Source organism: Homo sapiens, chromosome 6 (genome assembly GCF_000001405.40).
Source record: "Homo sapiens chromosome 6, GRCh38.p14 Primary Assembly".
NCBI classification, from domain to species: Eukaryota; Metazoa; Chordata; class Mammalia; order Primates; family Hominidae; genus Homo; species Homo sapiens.
Window position 1 is genome coordinate 28305855 of NC_000006.12, and position 21216 is coordinate 28327070.

Below are 21216 nucleotides of genomic sequence, written 5' to 3' on the forward strand. Positions count from 1 at the left end.
ATGAATAAGTTCTTTAGTGGTGATTTCTGAGATTTTGGTGCACCCAAAATCTCAGAACAGTGAACACTGTACCCAATGTATAGTCTTTTATCCCTCACCCCTGCTCCCATCTTTTCCCCCCAAGTCCCCAAAGTCCATTGTGTCATTCCTATGCCCTTGCATCCTCATAGCTTAGCTCCCACTTATTAGTGAGAACACACGTTGTTTGGTTTTCCATTCCTGAGTTACTTCACTTAGAATAGTGGTCTCCAATTCCATCCAGGTTGCTGCAAATGCCATTATCTTCTTCCTTTTTAATGGCTGAGTAGTATTCTATGTTGTATATATACCACAATTTCTTTATCCACTGTTGATTGATGGGCATTTGGGCTGGTTTCATATTTTTACAATTGTGTATTATGCTGCTATAAACATAAGTGTGTAAGTATCTTTTTCATACAATGATTTATTTTCTTCCGGGTACATACCCAGTATTGGGATTGCTGGATCAAATGGAATTCTACTTTTAGTTCTTTAAGGAATCTCCACACTGTTTTCCATAGTGGTTGTACTAGTTTACATTCATCCACCAGCAGTGTAAAAGTGTTCCTTCTTCACCACATCCATGCCAACATCTATTATTTTGTTATTATGGCCATTCTTGCAGGAGTAAGTTATTGCATTGTGGTTTTGATTTGCATTTCCCTGATAATGAGTGATGTTGAGCATTTTTTTATGTGTTTGTTGGCCATTTGTATATCTTCTTTTGAGAATTGCCTATTGATGTCCTTAGCCCACTTTTTGATGGGATTGTTTTTTTTCTTGCTGATTTGTTTGAGTTCCTTGTAGATTCTGGACATTAGTCCTTTGTCAGATGTATAGATTGTGAAGATTTTCTCCCATGCTTTGGGTTGTTTGTTTACTCTGCTGATTGTTTCTTTTGCTTTGCAGAAGCTTTTTGGTTTAGGTCCCATCTATTTATCTTTGTTTCTGCTGCATTTGCTTTGGGGTTCTTGGTCATGAACTCTTTGCCTAAGCCAATGTCTAGAAGGGCTTTTTAAATATAGAGTTTTTATGGTTTCAGGTCTTAGGTTTAAGTCCTTGATCCGTCTTGAGATGATTTTTGTATAAGGTTAGAGATGAGGATCCAATTTTGTTCTTCTACATGTGCCTTGCCAATTATCCCGGCACCATTTTTTGAATAAGATGTCCTTTCCCCACTTTATGTTTTTGTTTGCTCTGTTGTAGATCAATTGGCTGTAAGTATTTGGCTTTATTTCTGCGTTCTCTATTTTGTTCCATTGCTCTATGTGCCTATTTTTATACCAGTACCATACTGTTTCTGTGACTATGGCCTTATAATTTGAAGTCAGGTAATGTGATGCCTCCAGATTTGTTCTTTTTACTTAGTCTTGCATTGGCTATATGAGCTTTTTTTTGGTTTCATATGAATTTTAGGATTTTTTTCTAGCTCTCTGAAGAATGATGGTGGTATTTGCATAAGAATTGCATTAAATTTGTATATTGCTTTTGGCAGTATGGTCATTTTCACAATATTGATTCTACCCATCCACGAGCATGGGATGTCTTTCCATTTGTTGGTGGTGTGTATGATTTCTTTATTCAGTGTTTTGTAGTTTTCCTTGTACGGGTCTTTCACCTTGGCTAGATATATTCCTAAGTATTTTATTTTATTTTGCAGCTATTGTAAAGGGGGTTGAGTTCTTGATTTGATTCTCAGCTTGGTGGCTGTTGGTGTATAGCAGAGCTACTGATTTGTGTACATTAATTTTATATCCTGAAACTTTGGTGAATTCATTTATCAGTTCTAGGAGCTTTTTGGAGGAGGCTTTAGGGTTTTCTAGGTATATGATCATATTATCAGCAAACAGCAACAGTTTGACTTCCTCTTTATCAATTTGGACGCCCTTTATTTCTTTATCTTGTCCAATTGCTCTGGCTAGGACTTTCAGTACTATATTGAATAGAAGTGGTGAGAGTGGACACCATTGTCTTGTTCCATTTCTCAGGGGGAATGCTTTCAACTTTTCCCCATTCAGTATTATGTTGGCTGTGGGTTTGTCATAGATGGCTTTTCTTACATTAAGGTATGTCCCTTCTATGCTGATTTTGCTGAGAGGTTTAATCATAAAGGGATGCTGGATTTTGTCAAATGCTTTTTCTGTGTCTATTGAGATGATCATGTGATTTTTGCTTTAATTCCCATTTATTGACTTGCATATGTTAAACCATCCCTGCATCCCTGGTATGAAACCCACTTGATCATGGTGGATTATCTTTTTGATATGCTGTTGGATTTACTTAGCTAGTATTTTGTTAGGGATTTTTGCATCTATATTCATCAGGGTCTATAGTTTCCTTTTTTGTTATGTCCTTTTCTAGTTTTGGTATCAGGGTGATATTGGCTTCATAGATTAATTTAGGGAGAATTCCCTCTTTCTCTGTCTTGTGGAATAGTGTTAATAGGATTGGTACCAATTTTTTGAATGTCTGATAGAATTCAGCTGTGAATCCATCTAGTCCTGGACTTTTTTAAAATTACCGTTTCAGTCTTGCTGCTTGTTATCAGTCTGTTCAGAGTTTCTATTTCTTCCTGGTTTAATCTAGGAGGGTTGTATATTTCCAATAATTTATCCATCTCCTCTAGATTTTCTAGTTTATGCATGTAAAGGTGTTCATAGTAGCCTTGAGTGATCTTTTGTACTTCTATGGTATCAGTTGTAATATCTCCCGTTTGGTTTCTAATTGAGCTTATTTAGATCTCTCTTCTCGGTTAATCTTGCTAATGGTCTATCAATTTTATTTATCTTTTCAAAGAACCAGCTTTTTGTTTCACTTATCTTTTGTATTGTTTTTTGTTGTTTCAATTTCATTTGGTTCTGCTCTGATCTTTGTTATTTCTTTTCTTCTGCTGGCTTTGGGTTTGGTTTGTTCTTATTTCTCTAGTTCCTTGAGGTGTGACCTTAGATTGTCTATTTGTGCTCTTTCAGACTTTTTGATATAGATATTTAAGGCTATGAACTTTCCTCTTAGGACCACCTTTCCTGTAACCCCGAGGTTTTGATAGGTTGTGTCACTATTATCATTCAGTTCAAAGAATTTTTAAATTTCCGTCTTGATTTCATTGTTGACCCAATGATCATTCAAGAGCAGGTTATTTGATTTCCTGTCTTTGCATGGTTTTGAGAGTTCCTTTTGGGGTTGATTTCCAGTTGTATTCCACTGTGGTCTAAGAGTACTTGATATAATTTCAATTTTCTTAAATTTATTGAGACTTGCTTTGTGGCCTATCATATGGTCTGTCTTGGAGAATGTTCCATGTGCTGATGAATAGAATGTATATTCTGCAGTTGTTGGAAAGAATGTTCTCTAAGTATCTGTTAAGTCTGTTTGTTCTAGGGTATAGTTTAAATTCATCATTTCTTTGTTGACTTTCTGTCTTGATGACCTGTCTAATGCTGTTAATGGAGTATTGGAGTCCTTCACTATTATTGTGTTGCTGTCTATCTCATTTCTTAGTTCTAATAGTAATTGTTTTATAAATTTGGGAGCTCCAGTGTTAGATGCATATGTATTTAGGATTGTGATATTTTCCTGTTGGACAAGTCCTTTTATCATTATATAATGTCCTTCTTTTTCTTTTTTAACTGCTGTTGCTTTAAAGTTTGTTTTGTCTGATACAGGGATAGCTACTCTTGCTCACTTTTGGTGTCCATTTGCATGGAATATCTTTTTCCACCCCTTTACCTTAAGTTTATGTGACTCCTTATGTGTCAGGTGAGTCAATTGAAGACAGCAGATACTTCTTTGGTGAATTCTTATCCATTCTGCCATTCTGTATCTTTTAAGTGGAGCTTTCAGGCCATTTACATTCACCATTAGTATTTAGATGTGAGGTACTAGTCTATTCATCATGCTATTTGTTGCCTGAATACCTTGTTTTGTTTTTTATTTACTGTGTTTTTGTTTTGTAGGTCCTGTGAGATTTGTGCTTTAAGGAGGTTCTATTTTGGTGTATTTCAAGGATTTGTTTCAAGATTTAGAGTTCCTTTTAGCAATTCTTGTAGTGCTGGCTTGTTAGTGGCTAATTCTCTCAGCATTTGTTTGTCTGAAAAAGACTATCTTTCCTTCATTTATGACGCTTATTTTCGCTGGATACAAAATTCTTGGCTGATAATTCTTTTGTTTAAGTAGGCTGAACATGGGGCCCCAATCCTTCTAGCTTGTAGGGATTCTGCTGCAAAATCTGCTGTTAATCTGATAGGTTTTCCTCTATAGATTACCTGGCACTTTTGCCTCACAGCTTTTAAGATTCTTTCCTTTGTCTTGACTTTAGATAACCTGATGACTGTGTGCCTAGATGATGATCTTTTTGTGATAAATTTCCCAGGTGTTCTTTGAGCTTCTTGTATTTGGATGTCTAGATTTCTAGCAGAGCCAGGGAATTTTTCCACAATTATTTCCTCAAATGTATTTTTCAAATTTTTAGATTTCTCTTCTTCCTCAGGAACACCAATTATTCTTGCATTTGGTTAACATAATCCCAAACTTCTTGGAGGCTTTCTTCATTTTTTAAAATTCTTTTTTCTTTGTCTTTTTTGGATTGGGTTAATTCAAAAACCTTGTCTTCAAGCTCTGAAGTTCTTTCTTCTGCTTGTTTAATTCTATTGCTGAGATTTTTCAGTGTGTTGTGCATTTCTCTAAGAGTGTCCTCATTTCCAGAAGTTGTGATTTTTATTTAGGCTATCTATTTCACTGAAGATTTTTCCTTTCGTAGCTTGTTTCATTTTTTTTTAATTTCATTAAGTTGGACTTTGCCTTTCTCTGGTGCCTCCTTGATTAGCTTAATAATCAACCTGAATTCTTTCTCTGGCAATTCAGGGATTTCTTCTTGGTTTGGATACATTGCTGGTGAGCTGGTATCATCTTTTGGGGGACATTAAAGAACCTTTTGTATTATCAGAATTGTTTTCCTGGTTCTTTATCATTTGGGTAGACTATGTCATAGTGAAGATCTGGGGCTTAGGGATGCTGTTCAGATTCTTTTGTCCCACGGGGACTACTTGATGTTGTGCTCTCCCTCTTCCCCTATGGATGTGGCTTCCTGAGAGCTGAACTGCAGTGATTGTCTTCTCTTCTGGATCTAGCCATGCAGCTCGGGCTGGTACTGGGGGAGTCTGCATAGAGTCCTGTAATGTGAAAGTCTTCAGGTCTCTCAGCCATGGATACAAGCACCTGCTGTTGTGGAGGTGGCAGGGGAGTGAAATGGGCTCTTGTGAGGATCCTTAGTTGTAGTTTTGTTTATTGCACTAGTTTTGTGTTGGTTGGCCTCCTGCCAGGAGGTGGTACTTTCAAGACAGCATCAGCTGTGGTAGTGTACGGAGGATCAGACAGTGGGTGGGGCCCTAGGTCTCCCAAGAGATTATGTCGTTTGTCTTCAGCTAGCATGGTGGGTAAAGACCATCAGGATGGGGCAGGGTCAGGCATGTCTGAACTCAGACTCCCCTTGGGCAGGGCTTGCTGTGGCCGCTGAGGAATGGGATTATGGTTCCTAGGCCAATGGAGTTACATGTTCCCAGGGGGATTATAGCTGCCTCTGCTGAGTCACGCGAGTGGCTAGGGAAGTTGGGGAAAGCTGGCAGTTATAGGCCAGGCCTCACCCAGCTCCCACACAGCCCAAAAGACTGGTCTTACGCCCACTGTACTCCCCCAGCTGCACTGAGTTTATTTCCAGGCAGCAGGTGAGCAGGGCTGAGAACTTGCCCCAGCCTACCAACCTCCTAGCTGAGAAAGCAAGCAGTGCTTTCAGGTTTTGTGCCACCCCACCTGATGTGGTTTCTGTGTTGTGTCTGCACTCCCGATTCACCCCCTCCCGGGAGTTCTGTACAAGAAATTTTGAATTTGGTCAAAATTCTTACAAAGTTCAGCTGGACGTTTCCTTCTCTCTGTGGTCTTTTCTCAGTTCCTCTAGCAACCTTCCCCAAAGACCTCTTTGAGACAAAGTCAGAAATGGCTTCCCTGGACTTTGTCCCTGGACTTTTTCCCTTCCCTGACCAAGCGCCCATAGGGCTCTTCCCGCTGCTGCTTCTACCCCTGTGTTTCACTTAGCTCTCTAATTTTGTTTCAGCTCCAAGTAAAGTCAAATCCTTCTCTTGTGATTTGGACCTTCAGGTTCCCTAGTGACGGTGGGTGTTCAGGGGCAGATGATCCCCCTTTCATACTTTGGGCACCCACAGTTTTTCAGCTGTCTCCTGGGGCCTGCAGGAGCAATCCACTCCTTCAAAGGTTCTATGGGTTCTCTTGGCTTTCCTGGTATGTTCTTGTGGTAGTTCTTGGAGCAAAAGTTCACGATGTTAGTCTCCACACACTGCTCTGTCCATCTGAGTGGGAGCTGCAATTTAGTCCTGCTTCCTATTCACCATTTTCCTGTCTTGTCCCGTAAAATTCATTCTTTACTGAGGTTTCACTCCCCTGTCATTCAGAGCAAAATGAAAGTGGGACTTCTTGCGCACATGGAGTTTCTGATGTTGGAAGTCAGAATGAAGAAGGAAGATAGCACCAAATTCAACTGTCTGATAAGTTTTCTCTCCAGGACAAATTTACCAAAGTATTCAGATTGACTATATCTGTGGCTCTGCTCTGTGTGTGTGTGTGTGTGTGTGTGTGTATACACATACATATATTTGTCTTCTAAGGTAGGGATGATGTCAGTGTCAATTCAAGCTCCAGCTCTGTTTTATTTTCCATGCTCCTGCTCCAGCTTGATACACTCTCAGAAATAGGTGACAGTACCGCTATTAGTAAAGTATAGGTTCTGGTCAAAGATATAATTGGTTTATGCTGTAATAGATGCAGTTCTGGTATAAGAATTAAGCTCTTCATTTCTTCTCTTAATGTTCATATATTGATTAATCCAAACTTATTCAAGTTCTACTCGAAGGTTTTCTTTCCATCACACTACCAATTAGCATCTTTTCTGGGCTTTTTTTTTTTTTTTTTTTTTTTAAATAGAGGGTTCTTATGCCCAAGAAGTGTTGAGATCTGCCCAAACGCATTGCCACATACACACTGATAGGGCCTCTCGCCCATGTGGACCCGCTGGTGCGGGATGTGGCAGGAACTCTGGCTGAAAGTTTCGTGGCAGCCGCTGCAGTGATCAGGCCTCTCACCTGTGTGTGTACCTGCGGGTGCTGCAAGCGGGTTAAGCTCCTTAGGAAGCGCTTGCGGCAGCGTTTGCTTGCGTAGGGCCTGCGTGGAGTACCAGATAGACGCTGAGGAAGAAGACGGTTAACTGCCGGAGGCATGCGCACAGCGGTGGTGCTAAGTGCTTGCTGGGGGAGTGGCCGAAGTCCCTAGGCCCACGCAGGTGCTGGGTCTGGTTGGAGTGCTGCTCCCACGCCGACTTCCCCTTGGCGCACTCTTATGGTCTTTCCCTTGCAAGGAAATGCATCCTCGGGTGGATCTGGAGGTCACGTGAACCTTTTTTCCCTTGTGGGTTTGCCCATTCACTGCTTCTGTCTCATTTAGGACTGAAAAACTTTGATTCGAGGTCTGCATAGGATTGCTTTAGGGGGTTTCACTTATTCAGGTGTTTCTTGCTTTAAGGCTATTTCACTTGTTGTTGTTGTTGTTGTTGTTCTTAGTCTCCATATCTTCAACCTTAGATTCTGATCTGAAAATATAAAAGAAATTTGTGAACCGGTCCCCATCTTGGGGGAGAACAGGATGAATCAAGTGAAACAAAAGTGTAGTAAGCTTGAGGGTTGGTAAAGGTGTGCAAGGGATCACTGCCAAAAACTGAAGGAAGGGGACAGAGCGAGAATCTGTCTCAAAAAAAAAAAAAAAAAAAAAAAAAAGAAAAGAAAGAAAGAAAAGAAAAAAGAAAGGACAGAAAATATTCTGTTGAAGCCGAACACTGAATCATGAGGAGCCACTCTGGATCCTGACTCTCTGGACCCCTTGCTTTCATTCTTTGCTTAAGGTTTTGTTAGAGTTAACAAAATTGACTTTTTAATCCCTGAACGATAACATGTATATATAAAATTTAAATTCTAAGATTTAGGAATCACTATTCCCAACTGTCATGTTGACTGCTGAATGTTATCTAGATATCCGTGACTAACTGAGGCACATTAAGTAATTCCCTTCAGCACAGGTGCTAGGACAAATCATCAATGAACTGAAACCAGAAAACCATATATTGCCTCAACCAAATATATGTTGAACCTATGGCATGGACAAAAAGGAATTTTTAAAAATATGGATATAGTTTGCTGATAATTCTTCTTCTTCACATCCTGGACTTAAGGAAGCCCAAGAGTTGGAGAGGGGAGCTGGTTGGTTGAAAGGGAAATAATATAGTTTATATAGTCTCACCTGGGGTCAAGGAAAAGCATCAAAAGAAAAGCAGGCAGAAAAGCTATCATTTATGAGAATTTGGGGTTTGAGGTGCAGATCGGCAAGTCTGAAACTAAAACAAGCTTGGTGGGGAGGTAAGGATATCCAGGTGAAACCTGGGATTTGTCAATGCAGGCATGAGAGCTAAAGGTGGCTCACATTTTTATTCTAGGGCCAGAGGACTGGGAGTAAGTGAAATATTATAGCCAGGAAAAGGAGTATAACAAAATTAGGCAGATGTGAGAGGTGAAGTTGTAATTAACGAAGGAGATTCTACAGAGTAGGTCCTAGTTATTTTCTCCCCAGTTCATAGGAAGAAACAGCCACCAGGAAGTCTTTTAATGTTCTTTTCTTTCTTTGATGCTTATATTTTCTATACTTGCTATTTTCCTTTAGGGAGGTACCTGTAGCACAGAGAGAGAGACTAAGCCAAGAAAGGCCAGAGTTAATTAACCTGGCAGCCATCCAACTGTGAGGGGCAGTACACAAGGTTCTTCACATGGTCCTAGAGCCATGGTTGAGTCTAGAATTGTGTGTATGGCTATGTAATCGTGGGTACACATTTACATGCTAATGTGAAGGTGTCTTAAGCACTGATCACACATTCTCAAAAGGTCACGTCAACACTCTTATGGTAAAGGCTATAGTCAGTTCTCTCTTGTCTATGCTGAGACACAGACTAAACACAGGCCACTCAAATGATAGGACAAACAAGAGGCCAAACACACTTGGTTTCCAAAAGGAATGGGTAGATGTTGGTTCTGCCCACATATCTTCATTCATTTAGCTAATACATTTTTTGTATGCATCAACTGGGCATAAGAAGATGGATAGAGTAGAGTTTTATTGAAAGGGGAAATGAATAAAAAACGGGCCGAACATTACTTCTATGTCTTTAGCTGGCAATACTTCCATCTCAGAAGAAACTCCGCTTCTCACCAGTCTTTGGAAAGGTACATGGTTTTGGAGGTTCTCATTTACCTGGGTCTTTATGGGCTGCAGATGGATGACTAAGTATGCCTTCTATGCCCTCAAAGATAATTTTTCCCTCAAGATTTTGTCCTTTTTATGGAGATGGGCTGGACCCTGAATCAGTAGGTTTATTACGAGAATTAGGGCTAAATCCTTAGAGAAGAGATTGCAGGACATAGAAAAATTAGTGTTTCATTAGACCAAGGGCTGCAAGGGTGATGTTTGAAAGTTGAAAAGAAAAATGCAAATAACTAATAACTTTAGCTTGGCTCAGTAAAGACTGAAGTTGCTCAGAAATAATCTCCTCACTGCCAACCTGTCAGTGCCCCTCATTCTGGCTTTATACCTCCAAGCCTTCTACCTTCTTACCTGCTGTCTTGATCCATCAGTCTTTCTCTTCTACATGGCCAAGCAGGTCACAGCCTCTTTTCCGCTTTCTGGATGATGCTCTCTCACTGAGGCCTGGGGCTTCTTAGGCAGGATGGTCAGGAACTGCTCCAGCAACAGAAGCTTCAGAATCTGCTCCCTGGTGTGGGTGCTCTGGCTGCAGTCTCTGTTGGCAAGTCTCCCAGAGATGTCTCAGAGTCGCTCAAGGCCCAGGGGAATCCTGATAGCAGAGGTGCCTGAAGTGTCATCTGCAGATTTCATGATATGAAGGACTCTTTCCTGGAAGTCTGTATTCCTGATTCCATGTCTAATGACTAGTGCAAACCAGGAGCAGGCAGTAGGAAGTTTATGATAAGAAAGGACAGAAAATAGGCCAGGCAAGCTGTCATGTTAAAGAAGCATACACGACTGTTTTTTTCCACCTTGACTTGCACAGCTGTTTTCTGTACCTCAGGGAACTGGCATGGCCACAACTAGGACTTCTCTTGTTCTCCAGATAGGTTGAGCCTTGAAAATTTGTAGCAGGTTCACTCTGCCTAGAATTTTGGAATTCAGGAAGATTCCCATTCAGCATTTTATCTTCAGAGTTAGTCCTACTTTTTATAAAAAATGAAATTATATAATAAATATATATGTATATCTACATATATTCTATATATAAATACACACACACACATACAAGGGATTAATATCTAAAATATAAAGAATTTCTACCCTCTGATAAGAAAAAGTTAAAATGTTCACCAGAAAACCAGACAAAGGATATGAATAAGGAATTCACAAAGGAGGAAATGCAAATGGCCAATAAATGGTATAAAAAGATGCAGTGTCATTAGTATTCAAGGATTAAAAATAGAAGTGAGATACCATTACACATTTAACAGCTTGGTAAATGTTTAAAAGTTTGATAATGGGCAAGGATACAGAATAACAACCATACTGTGCTAGTGGGAATATATATTGGCAATTGGTGGCAATATATATATATACAGCCAATTTGGTGGCACTTTAGTGGTATTAAAATTTTAAATGCACATATGATATCATGTTTTCATTCTGTCATTCTCCACTGTCTTTGAGAACTAGGATACTTGACATGGAAGCTAAGTATGGGTGACAGCCTCTAAAATGTCCCCCAGTACTCCCACTTCCCAGTATTCAAGGCCTTGCATAATCCCCTCCTTTTTTTTTCAAGTTCTGACACACAAACTTTTATTTATTTGCTTGTTTTTGATTAAATGTTTGTTACAGGCAACCTGGGAATAGCTTTCTTTTTCCCCTCAAACCAGCTATAGAAAGGTAATTGATTGTACTTAGTTCTCAGAACTTCAGAAGCAACATAATAGGTAAACAAGTTCTTAAAAGAAGTATTCTAGATAACAGTAAATGGGATTCTTTCAACAATAGTACTCTGTTGCAGTGAGAGATGATTTTTCTGAAGAATCCCAAACCTCACAATATTCTCTATATTTCCCAGCCCCTTACACACACACACACACACACACACACAAATGTAAAATCTTGATCTCACATATATAGAAAGGCTCTATAAATGACAGGAAAAAGTGAAAAAATAACAGCATATGTCAAAGAAATACAAAATAGGCATGTGTTACGACTTTAACAGAAATTATAGAAAAACACTTTTAGTTAAATACCTTTACGTTGTTACAACAGAACTGATGAAACCATAACTTTCGTAGATAACTGAGAATTATGACTATATCCTTTGCTTCAATACTTTTGCTCTAAAATATGACCATAAGTAAAACATATGTACATAAATTCTTTCCATGAACAGCTTGATTCCAGAAAACCAAACATATTTTAGATATATCTTGACTAAATACTGAACTATTTCAGTGCCTTCAGTTACAATGTGTTGCTCACACTGGCACCAAGTGGAGACTGATAATCTAAAAGAATAGCATTAAGTGTTATTCAAACTGGTCCATAAACATTCTCAGTGGTTCTTAGGTTCTCAAATTTGAGGAACATAGTCCTAAAAGTTTACAAGTATGCTTAGTTGTAATTGAAATTCTAACCTGCATAACATAATGTAACTTAAAATGTTAGTCTCTCCAAAAAAAATAAGACCCAGGACCTCTTTATAAAAAATCATCAAGTTTATTACAATATCTAGTTTCATTTTTAAACTGTAGCTGCTGGACAATTTTTGTAATTTAAAATTCATTATCGGGGTACAGAAAACACTAATAAGCTGACAGTGAATTAGATACTAACAGTGAATAAAATTACTGGACCATGCATTTATAAAAGCCATGTTTAATAGTAAAACATCCCAGTTATACTTCTTAACTGAAAGAAACATCCTTTAGCTCCTTCCAATTACAGCACATTCTTATTTTGAGATCATTTATCCTTTTTCACCCAATTACTACTATGCCCAACAAAATGTTTCCAAATGTTGTACTTTTCTTTACCACTTATGAAGTATGACTTCACTGTTACTCATGAAGAGTTCTTTGGCCGGATGCTGTGGCTCACCCCTGTAATCCCAGCACTTTGGGAGGCCAAGGCGGGTGGATCACGAGGTCAAGAGATCGAGACCATCCTGGCCAACATGGTGAAACTCCGTCTCTACTGAAAAAACAAAAATTAGCCGGGCGTGGTGGCACGCACCTGTAGTCCCAGCTACTCGGGAGGCTGAGGCAGGAGAATTGCTTGAATCCGGGAGGCAGAGGTTACAGTGAGCTGAGATCACACCACTGCACTCCAGCCTACCAATAGAGTGAAACTCCATCTCAAAAAAAAAAAAAAGCTTTAAAAGAAATTTGAAATTTAAAGATACACTTTGAACCTGTTTGATCAGAAAGTATTAAATATCACTACCACATGAGTTAAAACAAAAAATGGAATAAAAAACAAAAGTGGTGTCTATGTTATCAGTGAATTACTTGATAGGACATTTTAACTATTTTACAGTTCTGCTTAGCACAAGAATAAACTGGTTCCAAGGTACTACAGTGTTTGGCATTTTTACTGCAAGCTCTAAACTATAGTGTTACTCCTCTTAACAAGCCATCTCTAAGAAAATGGCAGTGTTTGAAAGCACAAAAAGTGTTCTATCCAATAGGTGGTATTTTACATAGTCAAGGTAAGAGGAATCTTTTTATAAAATTACATTTTAAAAAATGCGGCAGGGCATGGTGGCTCACGCCGATAATCCCAGCACTTTGGGAGGCTGAGGCGGGCGGATCACAAGGTCAAGAGATGAAGACCATCCTGGCCAACATGGTGAAACCCTGTCTCTACTAAAAATACAAAAATTAGCTGGGTGTGGTGGTGTGCACCTGTAGTCACAGCTACTCAAGAGGCTGAGGCAGGAGAATAGCTTGAACCTGGGAGGCGAAGGTTGCAGTAAGCCGAGATCCCACCACTGCACTCCAGCCTGGCGACAGAGTGAGACTCCATCTCAAAAAATAATAATAATAATGTAAAATGTCTTGATAATTACCAGTTGTCTCAAAGGCTAAAGTAAGAAAAATGCAGCAAATAGAAGTACTCGTTGATTAACATTATTTTGAGAAAGCCAGAAATGATTCTAAGAAGTAATAAAAGATGTAATTAATACATTATATCTCTTTTAAGCCAAAGCACATTTTTCATCTCAGACAGGACAGTTCTGACTTTTACATTCTTGATTTCCTTTGTCCAAAACGGGACGCCATTTTAAATAGAGTTCATTTGAGTAGGGTTCATAATATAAAGTCATTTTTCCCCACAGGATGTTTTCATTTCAGTACGTAAACTGCTAAACAGCAAATGACTAGGTCAGTTATAAAGAATTTGTACTATAATAAATGCTAATTTACAATAACTGTCAATAGAAACCTATAAATGCCTACACCCAAGCCTAAAAGTTACTACAGTATTGAGGTCGGAACTAACATGATTCTTCCATTTGGTCAAATTTCATTTACTAAAGAATACTGTCAAGAAATCCAAAGAAGAAACCTTAGTAGGTCCTTCCAAAGCTGCATAATTTTCCAGATTATTTCCTCTGGTTGCAGAGCCTGTTCAGTCCTTCAATCCTTTCATAGTTGTTTAGCTTTTGCAATGTTTTCTAGGCGTTTTTGTTTCTTCTTTTGCTCCTTACCCCTGGCCTCAATCATCTTGGCCAATTTCCAACACAATACAACACTTGCTAGGAACAGTGGAGTAAGGGCCAAAATAACAGTTGTAAGGAAGTCATATGGGTCCTTTGCAGCCCATTCCACAAGCCTTTATATCAAACATCTTCATAGCAGTCTTATGAAAACTGGGGGCTGGGCGCAGTGGCTGACACCTGTAATCCCAGTACTTTGGGAGGCCAAGGTGGGCAGGTCACCTGAGGTCAGGAGTTCAAGACCAGCCTGGCCAACATGGCGAAACACCATCTCTACTAAAAATACAAAAATTAGCTGAGCATGGTGGTGCATGCCTGTAATCCCAGCTACTAGGGAGGCTGAGGCAGGAGAATCACTTGAACCTGCGAGGTGGAGGTTACAGCGAGCAGAGATTGTGGCACCGCACTCTGGCCTGGGCAACAGAGCAAGACTCCCTCAAAAAAAAAAAAAAGAAGAAGAAAAGAAGGGAGGGAGCGAAGAAGGGAAGGGAAGGGGAGGAGAGGGGAGGGGAGGGAGAAAGAGAGAAAGAAAAAAAGAGAGAAGAAAGAAGAGAAAGAAAGAAAGGAAAGAAAGAAAATAAAAGGAAAAGAAAAGAAAAAAGAGAAGAGAACGAACCCGGGGCTTATGCTTGAGTAGTGATCTCTAACTTTGTCCTGTTATTATCAGTGACCCAATCACAATTTCAGATGACCCTTGGCAGTCTGTCTTTTTTAGTTCTACCATAGACATCTGAGAGATGGTTTAAATTCCTATCAGGCTACAGAGCCACAGGGGCTACGTTCACCCCTGCCCCTCGGCCTTGGCAAGTGCAGGGCCCTTATTGCACAGAAAGGAGGGTCCCAGGGGATACTGGGTCGGCCCCATCACACCTTGCACGGCCACCATTTCTGCTGGGCACCGGGAGAAAACTGCGGCAGCGACAGCCACCAGCCTCCCCTTTATTACCCCCAACACACTCCTTTTAAATAACTTGCTTCTAATTAATAGAATACAGCAATGTTGAGAGGATGTTACTTCTGTGATTAGGTTACAAAGAAAACGGTGACTTCTGTCTTGCTAGCAGATGCTCTCCCTTGGGGGTTTTGACGAAGCAAGTTGTCATGTTAAAGAAGCCTATATGACAAGGAACTGAGGATTGCCTGTTGCTAACAGTCAGCATGTAACTGAGGCCCTCAGTCCAAAAACCCTCAAAGGGTTTGTTGATTTCTGACAACAGTCATGTGAACTTAGAGCTGATCCCTCCCCAGTTAAGCCTTCAGATGAGACGCCAACTCTGACCAACACCTTGATTTCAGTCTTGAGAGACTCTGAAGCATAGGACCCTGCTGAGCCATACCTGGATTCCTGACCCATGGAAAGGATAATGTACGTTGTTTTATACTACTAAGTTTTTAGTTAATTCATTATACAGCAATACATGATAATAATACAAGGGGAGATACAAATGTAAAGAGAAGTAAAAACCCTGTAGTTCTGAATTAGAAAGAAAAACAAACAGGCATACACAGATATATGTCTCCTAGGTCTTTCTATTGAAAAGGCTTGGAAACAATAACCAGCCAAACAATGAGCCTTTGCTAGCATCGAATGTGTCATCTTGAAATTCCATATCCCCAAAAAGAAATCAGGATTCCTGGGAGACATGACTGAATCCAGATCAGAGGCAAGAAATGTATGGCATGAGCCTGAAACATCTTGTCATACCATAAAGCAAGGGTCTTGAGTCAGAAGTACTCAGGTGCCAAGTTGAAGACCTTCCCACTTGAAGATGGGAAAATTTGAGGACCAGTAAAGATAATGACAGCAATGAGTTGAAACACTTCAAGTATGTTTATATCCATGAGTTTGTAATTATTCTTAAAAAAAAGAAAATGGTCACCATTGGAGAATGCTAGGGAGCCATGTATTTTGAAAACAGGTAAATAAAGGGAAACAAGTATTTATCCTGCCTTTTCCATAGGAACTGTACCACTTGGTAACCACATAGATGATAAGGAAAAGTTTTTTGTAATGTATTAAAAGTTTGTTACAGAAACATTACATATACAGCAGGGTGCCTCTGCTGCCTACAAGCTGTGTGACCTTGGGTGAGTGACTTAACCTCCTTGTGCCTCAGTTTCCCCCTCTTTAAAATGGAGTTGACTACACATTTAGATTATATATGGGGATTAAATGAATTAATACATGTCAAGCAACTAGAACAGTGCCAGGCATATGGTGTTTCAGAAGTGTCTATTATCATTATTATATTTATTCTTAAAATGCTGGCATTTATCCAACCACAGTTCTTGGCACCCCTTGCACCATGCACCCCCAGTCACTCCTGGGCTTTAGCCTGGAGCCCAGTGCACATCCCCACCCTGCATCACCCCACTCACCCTGGGACTCACCCTGGGACTCACCCTGAGCTGAGCCGATCTTTAACAGAGACTTTTCCAAAGCCTTTGGGGACCTTGAAAAGGCTTTGGAAAAGCCTGGGCAAGCCCTGCACCACTGACCCACCTTCTGCTGCCTCCTTAGGTGGTTTGGAGAATATTTCATGTCATTAACTTCCTCACTTTGGGCCCATCTAGGGCAAAGAGGCAAGTAGGAGACTCTTTTCCTTACTCCTCAAACATCCTGGGACCGTCTGTTTAGTTCTTCTTTTCCAGTTCTTAACCACTCTGGATCCCACCCCACCCCTGTACACCACTTGCCCCACAGATGGATTTACAGGCTTTACCTGTATTGCTTTACCTCCTGAGAGCTCTCTCCTCACCCACCTAACCTTCATGTCTTTCCACAAGAGCACAGAGAGGTGAAGTAACTTGTGCAGAAGTCGCACAGCTAGGTAGTAACAAACTACAGCTACGCTATGCTACCAAGCAGCAAACTTAAATATGTCTTCACTTTCCCAGCCCTTCCTTCCCAGGATGCTGCACTTTCCCAATCACTCCCCAGCCTCTTGTACCTCATCTGCATTAATGCAGCTGACCTACCAGAATTCTACTCATTTCTTCCTCTTGTATACCAACAGGTTATCTCCCGCATCCCCTCCCTCCAGTGCTTTCAGGGTGCAGCTACTCATTCAAAATAATTACTCAATACCTAATAGGAAAGAACACTAGATGGGAATCAGTCAGTCTTGAATGCAGACCTTTGCCGCCTCACAGGCATGTGACATTGAGCAATCACTTTTATTTCACTGTGCTCAGTTTACACAATAAACACGTATGGCAAACACCTGTGCCTTCCTCTTCTAGGATGATTGTGAGGATCACTTGACAACCTCAGTGGGAAAACAATTTTTATTCCATGACTTAGCCTTTGCACTGGCTGATCTCTCTTCCTGGAACATCCTCCTTCTAGATAGCATCAAGCTGTCTCCCTCTTTGCTTCCGCATCTTAGCTCAAATGTCTCCTCCTCAATGAAGCATCCCTGACCCCCATCCCCCGCCCTATATAAGGAAATCTTACTCCTCATGCTGCTCCACTTTCTTCTGTTTCAAAAGCACTTCATCACCTTCTAATATACTACATAGTTATTATGATTATTGTCTATTATTTTTCTCTGCTGCTAGAATGTAAACTTTATGAGGGCAGGAAACTTTGTCTGATCTACTGATGCATCCCAAGTTCCTACAATGGTACCCACTGGCCTAACAAGTGCCCCGTGGATGTTTGCTGATTGACAGAGTGCCCCCATCCACAGTCTGAGCCTTCCTTCTTCTCTAGGTCTCTTGATGTTCCTCTAATAACAGGGGCACTGAAAATCCTTCTTGTTACTGTCAATGAGGCCAAATGCAGGAAGTAGTGGCATCAACTACTACAACACTTTGGACCAGATCAATGAAACAGAATTAGGAAAAAAAAAAAAAAAACCAGAAACATTCCCAAATTCTCCCTTCAATTTTCTCTTTACTACAGGCATGCCCATTCGGGCCCTTTTTTACGTCCCTATCTCTCCCCTCCTCCTCTCTTACTCATTTGGGATGTATCTCATGCCCTTAATGTTCCTCCTTCACCCTTATGTCTTCTATTTTGTGGCTTTTTCCTCTGTCAGCTTTACTTTGCTTTTCTGAATAGGTGAGAGAGAAAGGGACTATCTGAGCACTGGGGTTGGAGTCACAGAAGGACCACGCAAGGCTTCAGTGTTGAAGGTAAGTGTGGCATGCCATAGCACCATAGATAAGGAAACCTCAGCTGGGACCTTGTTCCTGTGGCCCAAGCAGTTTGGAGAGCCCAAGAGAGGACTGGGGGTGTGGACTGGCAGGTCTGCAAGGTGCTGGTAAACATGCAACAAACAGCCCCTTTCCCTTCACCCTGTGAGCTCATGCAAGAGGAGCAGAAGCTCTGTAGAAGTAGCTTTTTCCTAAAGTAAACATTTATGGGTCCTGTTTAGACTGCCTGGGTAAACATTTAGCTCTATTTGCCTATTCCAGAGCAAAGGACACTGCCTTGCTCTACAAACTCACCTCAACCCACCTGCCCATTGCACTTCACAGGCATCTCAGTCCTCTTAGGGTGGGACAGGCAGTGGGTCAGTGAGGGGAGCACAGGTTTAGGGACTACCTACTGATGTAGAGGTTGCAAGTGGAAGGATGGAAAGGAAGCTATTATGTGCTTGGTGCCTGTAGCATATTAAAAGGACCATACTAATCCTCAGGGTAGTCTGGGACCTTGATACTCAAAGTGCACTCCATGAACCAGCAGCATCTGAGGCACCTAGGAGTGCATTGCTCATTTAAAATGGAGATTCCTGGGCCCCCTTCTGACCTTTTGAAGTAGGAATCTGCATTTTAACAAGATCTCAAGTGATTTGTAGGTATTATAAAATTTCACAAACACTATTCCAGAAAATCTGAATTCAGCTAATTGCTAATGTTCTATTGACAAATAAAATAGTAAGTGACTTTTAAAGAATTGTTTATGGTTCCTAAGCCATGAGGAAAAAAATAACACACACACATATGTATGTATTCTTTAACGCTTTAAAAATAAACTTCAAAGCCAAAGGTTTAGGGCAGAACAGTTTTAAGCTGAACTTTTATTTCCTCTCTTTTGAAATATTCTGATTCAGGTTTTGACTGTGGAGAAAAGAGTAACAAGAATGTCAGCAGAGGCATTTCGTATCCTAATTTTAACATGATACTTAAAATTCTACCTACATTTGTTAAATGCTATTATTTCGTATGTAAATCATAATGCATATTTATTGAGAGCTACATTTTAAGTACAAGTTTGTATTTATTTAATCTTATGTACCCTATGAGGAAGGTATTGGTATCATCCTCTGTTTTACAGGTGGGGAGACTATAGCATAGCAGCATTTAGATAACTTGCCTAAAGTCCCACAGCTCACAAATGGGGAGGAAAGATTTGAACTTGGTGCCAGAGCATATGTTTAACCCTGGCAATAAGTGTCTAAGCATGCTGGTCTCCCCAGTAAGCAGCAAGCTGCCCAAGATATCAGACTTCTTTTCTTTATAAAACTACTTAAATGATGCTGCTTGCAATGGCACTCAAAGTTGCTGACCAACCCCCAAAAGAAGAATAATGCTGACATAAAAGGCTATGAATTAAAGAGGTACCTTGTGAAGAACAGAGATTTTAAAGTATCATCTTACTTATTATTTGTAACAAAAATGGAAAACTTACAGTAATGACCTGCATTGAGAATTTGATATGAATCATCAACATAGTTATGTTGATATGTATATACTATGTTGATGATTCATGTCAAACTCATATTAACTCATGATATCAACATATATATTGATTCGTATCAAAAACATGAGTTAGATATGAAATGAGACATAGATTTCTAAACCATTAAAACTACAGGTTTCATACTATGGATAATGCTGCATAATTATAGAAGCTATCTATCACATTCCTAGGGGAGACCATAGCAATGATTTCCTGTGGGAATGTGGACGATTCTTATTCCCCAAAACCTTACATTTGTTTAAAATGTCACTCTTACAGAAAAAGATGCACCTCTGAATATCCTTTGATCTTAGCAAATCTTTTTTTTAAAAGTATACATAGATACTGGTCTTTTAGAATTGTTCAATATGCAGTATTGCTCAAAAACAGCCCCTCCATAACAATTTATTTCCAGATAAGATTTGGTGCCTTTAAAGGAAATCATAAGAAATGGACCAAAGGCTAGGGAATAAGAAGGCCACCCAGCAACCCCCTACAATCACAGTCATCCACACAGGAGACACCAACACCTGGTTTGTAGACAAGTGGTTCAATGCAATACAAAATAAATTTTATAAGAACAGAATAAGCCACTTGAAAATCTTACTTTCCAAGACGGCCCCATTTAGGGGTCTGAGGGTCCACAGAATTAGTCCAGTTCTGCTGGAACAGTATGGATTCTAAAATGCCTAATAAGGTTGCAATGATGACTGAAGGCTTTCCCAAACTCATCACCCTTATGGTCTCTCTCCAGTGTGGATTTTCTGATGTTTCTTAAGAAGTGTCCGCTTACTAAAGAGTTTACTGCACTGACTGCACTGATAGGGTTTCTCACCAGTGTGGACTCGGAGATGCTGGAAAAGCCCTGCATTCTGAATGAAGGCTTTGCCACACTCACGACACTGATAGCGCTTCTCTCCAGTGTGTATCCTCTGATGCTGAACAAGGCATGAGCTGAGGAGGAAAGCCTTCCCACACACTTTGCATTCATATGGTTTTTCCCCTGTGTGGATTCTTCTGTGTCGAGTGAGGCCATTGCTGGCACTGAAGGCTTTCCCACACTCCTTACATTGATAGGGTTTCTCTCCAGTGTGGCTCCGCCGATGTTCATTCAGGCTTGACCTCCGGCTGAAGGCCTTCCCACATTCTTCACATTCATATGGCTTCTCCCCAGTGTGGATTCTCTGGTGCTCAATGAGTACTGAACTCTTAGTGAAGCTTTTCCCACATTCATTGCACCTGTGGCGTCTCTCTCCAGTGGAATGTGCCTGCTGCTTTTCTGCCTTGCTGTCTCGTTTACAAGTTTCTCTGTACTTAGAATCCAAAGATACATCTCTTTGGAGTTTGCTATCCCCCAAATGTTCCATTTCTTTTAAGATTTCTTGCTTTGATGCCAACTCCTGGTTCTCAGGTATACTTTCACCATCTGGAATAATAAATGGACCAAACAATGTAATCTCTTTCCTTTATGAAAGAATACAATCATAGGATGGAAATAGAAAGATCGATATCAAACAGACATGTTCTAGGAATGAAGAACTGTCAGTTAAGGAGCAGGTTGGGTTAAACAGGGATGTTTAGGCTAGTAGAGTAAGGGGTCATCAGCACTGCTAAAATGGCTGGAGGGAGCACCCAGAGGCTC

General features: G+C 40.3%; 1 protein-coding gene and 1 pseudogene across 24 annotated transcripts in view, besides 2 other annotated features; both read right to left on the reverse strand.

The window, feature by feature from the left end:
* Nucleotides 5118-5619: an enhancer, noted in NCBI's record as "H3K4me1 hESC enhancer chr6:28278749-28279250 (GRCh37/hg19 assembly coordinates)". NCBI's record gives its function as "activates a minimal SCP1, AML or CMV promoter by ChIP-STARR-seq in primed H9 embryonic stem cells {active_cell/tissue: H9 hESC(primed)}" and the evidence as "EXISTENCE:reporter gene assay evidence [ECO:0000049][PMID:30033119]".
* Nucleotides 5620-6119: an enhancer, noted in NCBI's record as "H3K4me1 hESC enhancer chr6:28279251-28279750 (GRCh37/hg19 assembly coordinates)". NCBI's record gives its function as "activates a minimal SCP1, AML or CMV promoter by ChIP-STARR-seq in primed H9 embryonic stem cells {active_cell/tissue: H9 hESC(primed)}" and the evidence as "EXISTENCE:reporter gene assay evidence [ECO:0000049][PMID:30033119]".
* On the reverse strand, nt 13806-14016 carry SMIM15P2 (SMIM15 pseudogene 2; annotated as a pseudogene).
* The window catches only part of ZSCAN31 (zinc finger and SCAN domain containing 31), a 31535-nt gene continuing 29201 nt past the window's right edge, over nt 18883-21216 (reverse strand). For 20 of the 24 annotated variants that reach the window (NM_001135215.1, XM_024446521.2, NM_145909.3 and 17 more), the window contains one exon: nt 18883-21000. In NM_001135215.1, coding sequence (NP_001128687.1) covers nt 20312-21000 — 689 coding nt within the window. In that variant the 3' untranslated portion in view covers nt 18883-20311. The remainder of the gene's footprint in view (nt 21001-21216) is intronic. The other 4 variants (XR_007059330.1, XR_002956295.2, XR_007059331.1 and 1 more) reach the window with 1 other exon arrangement.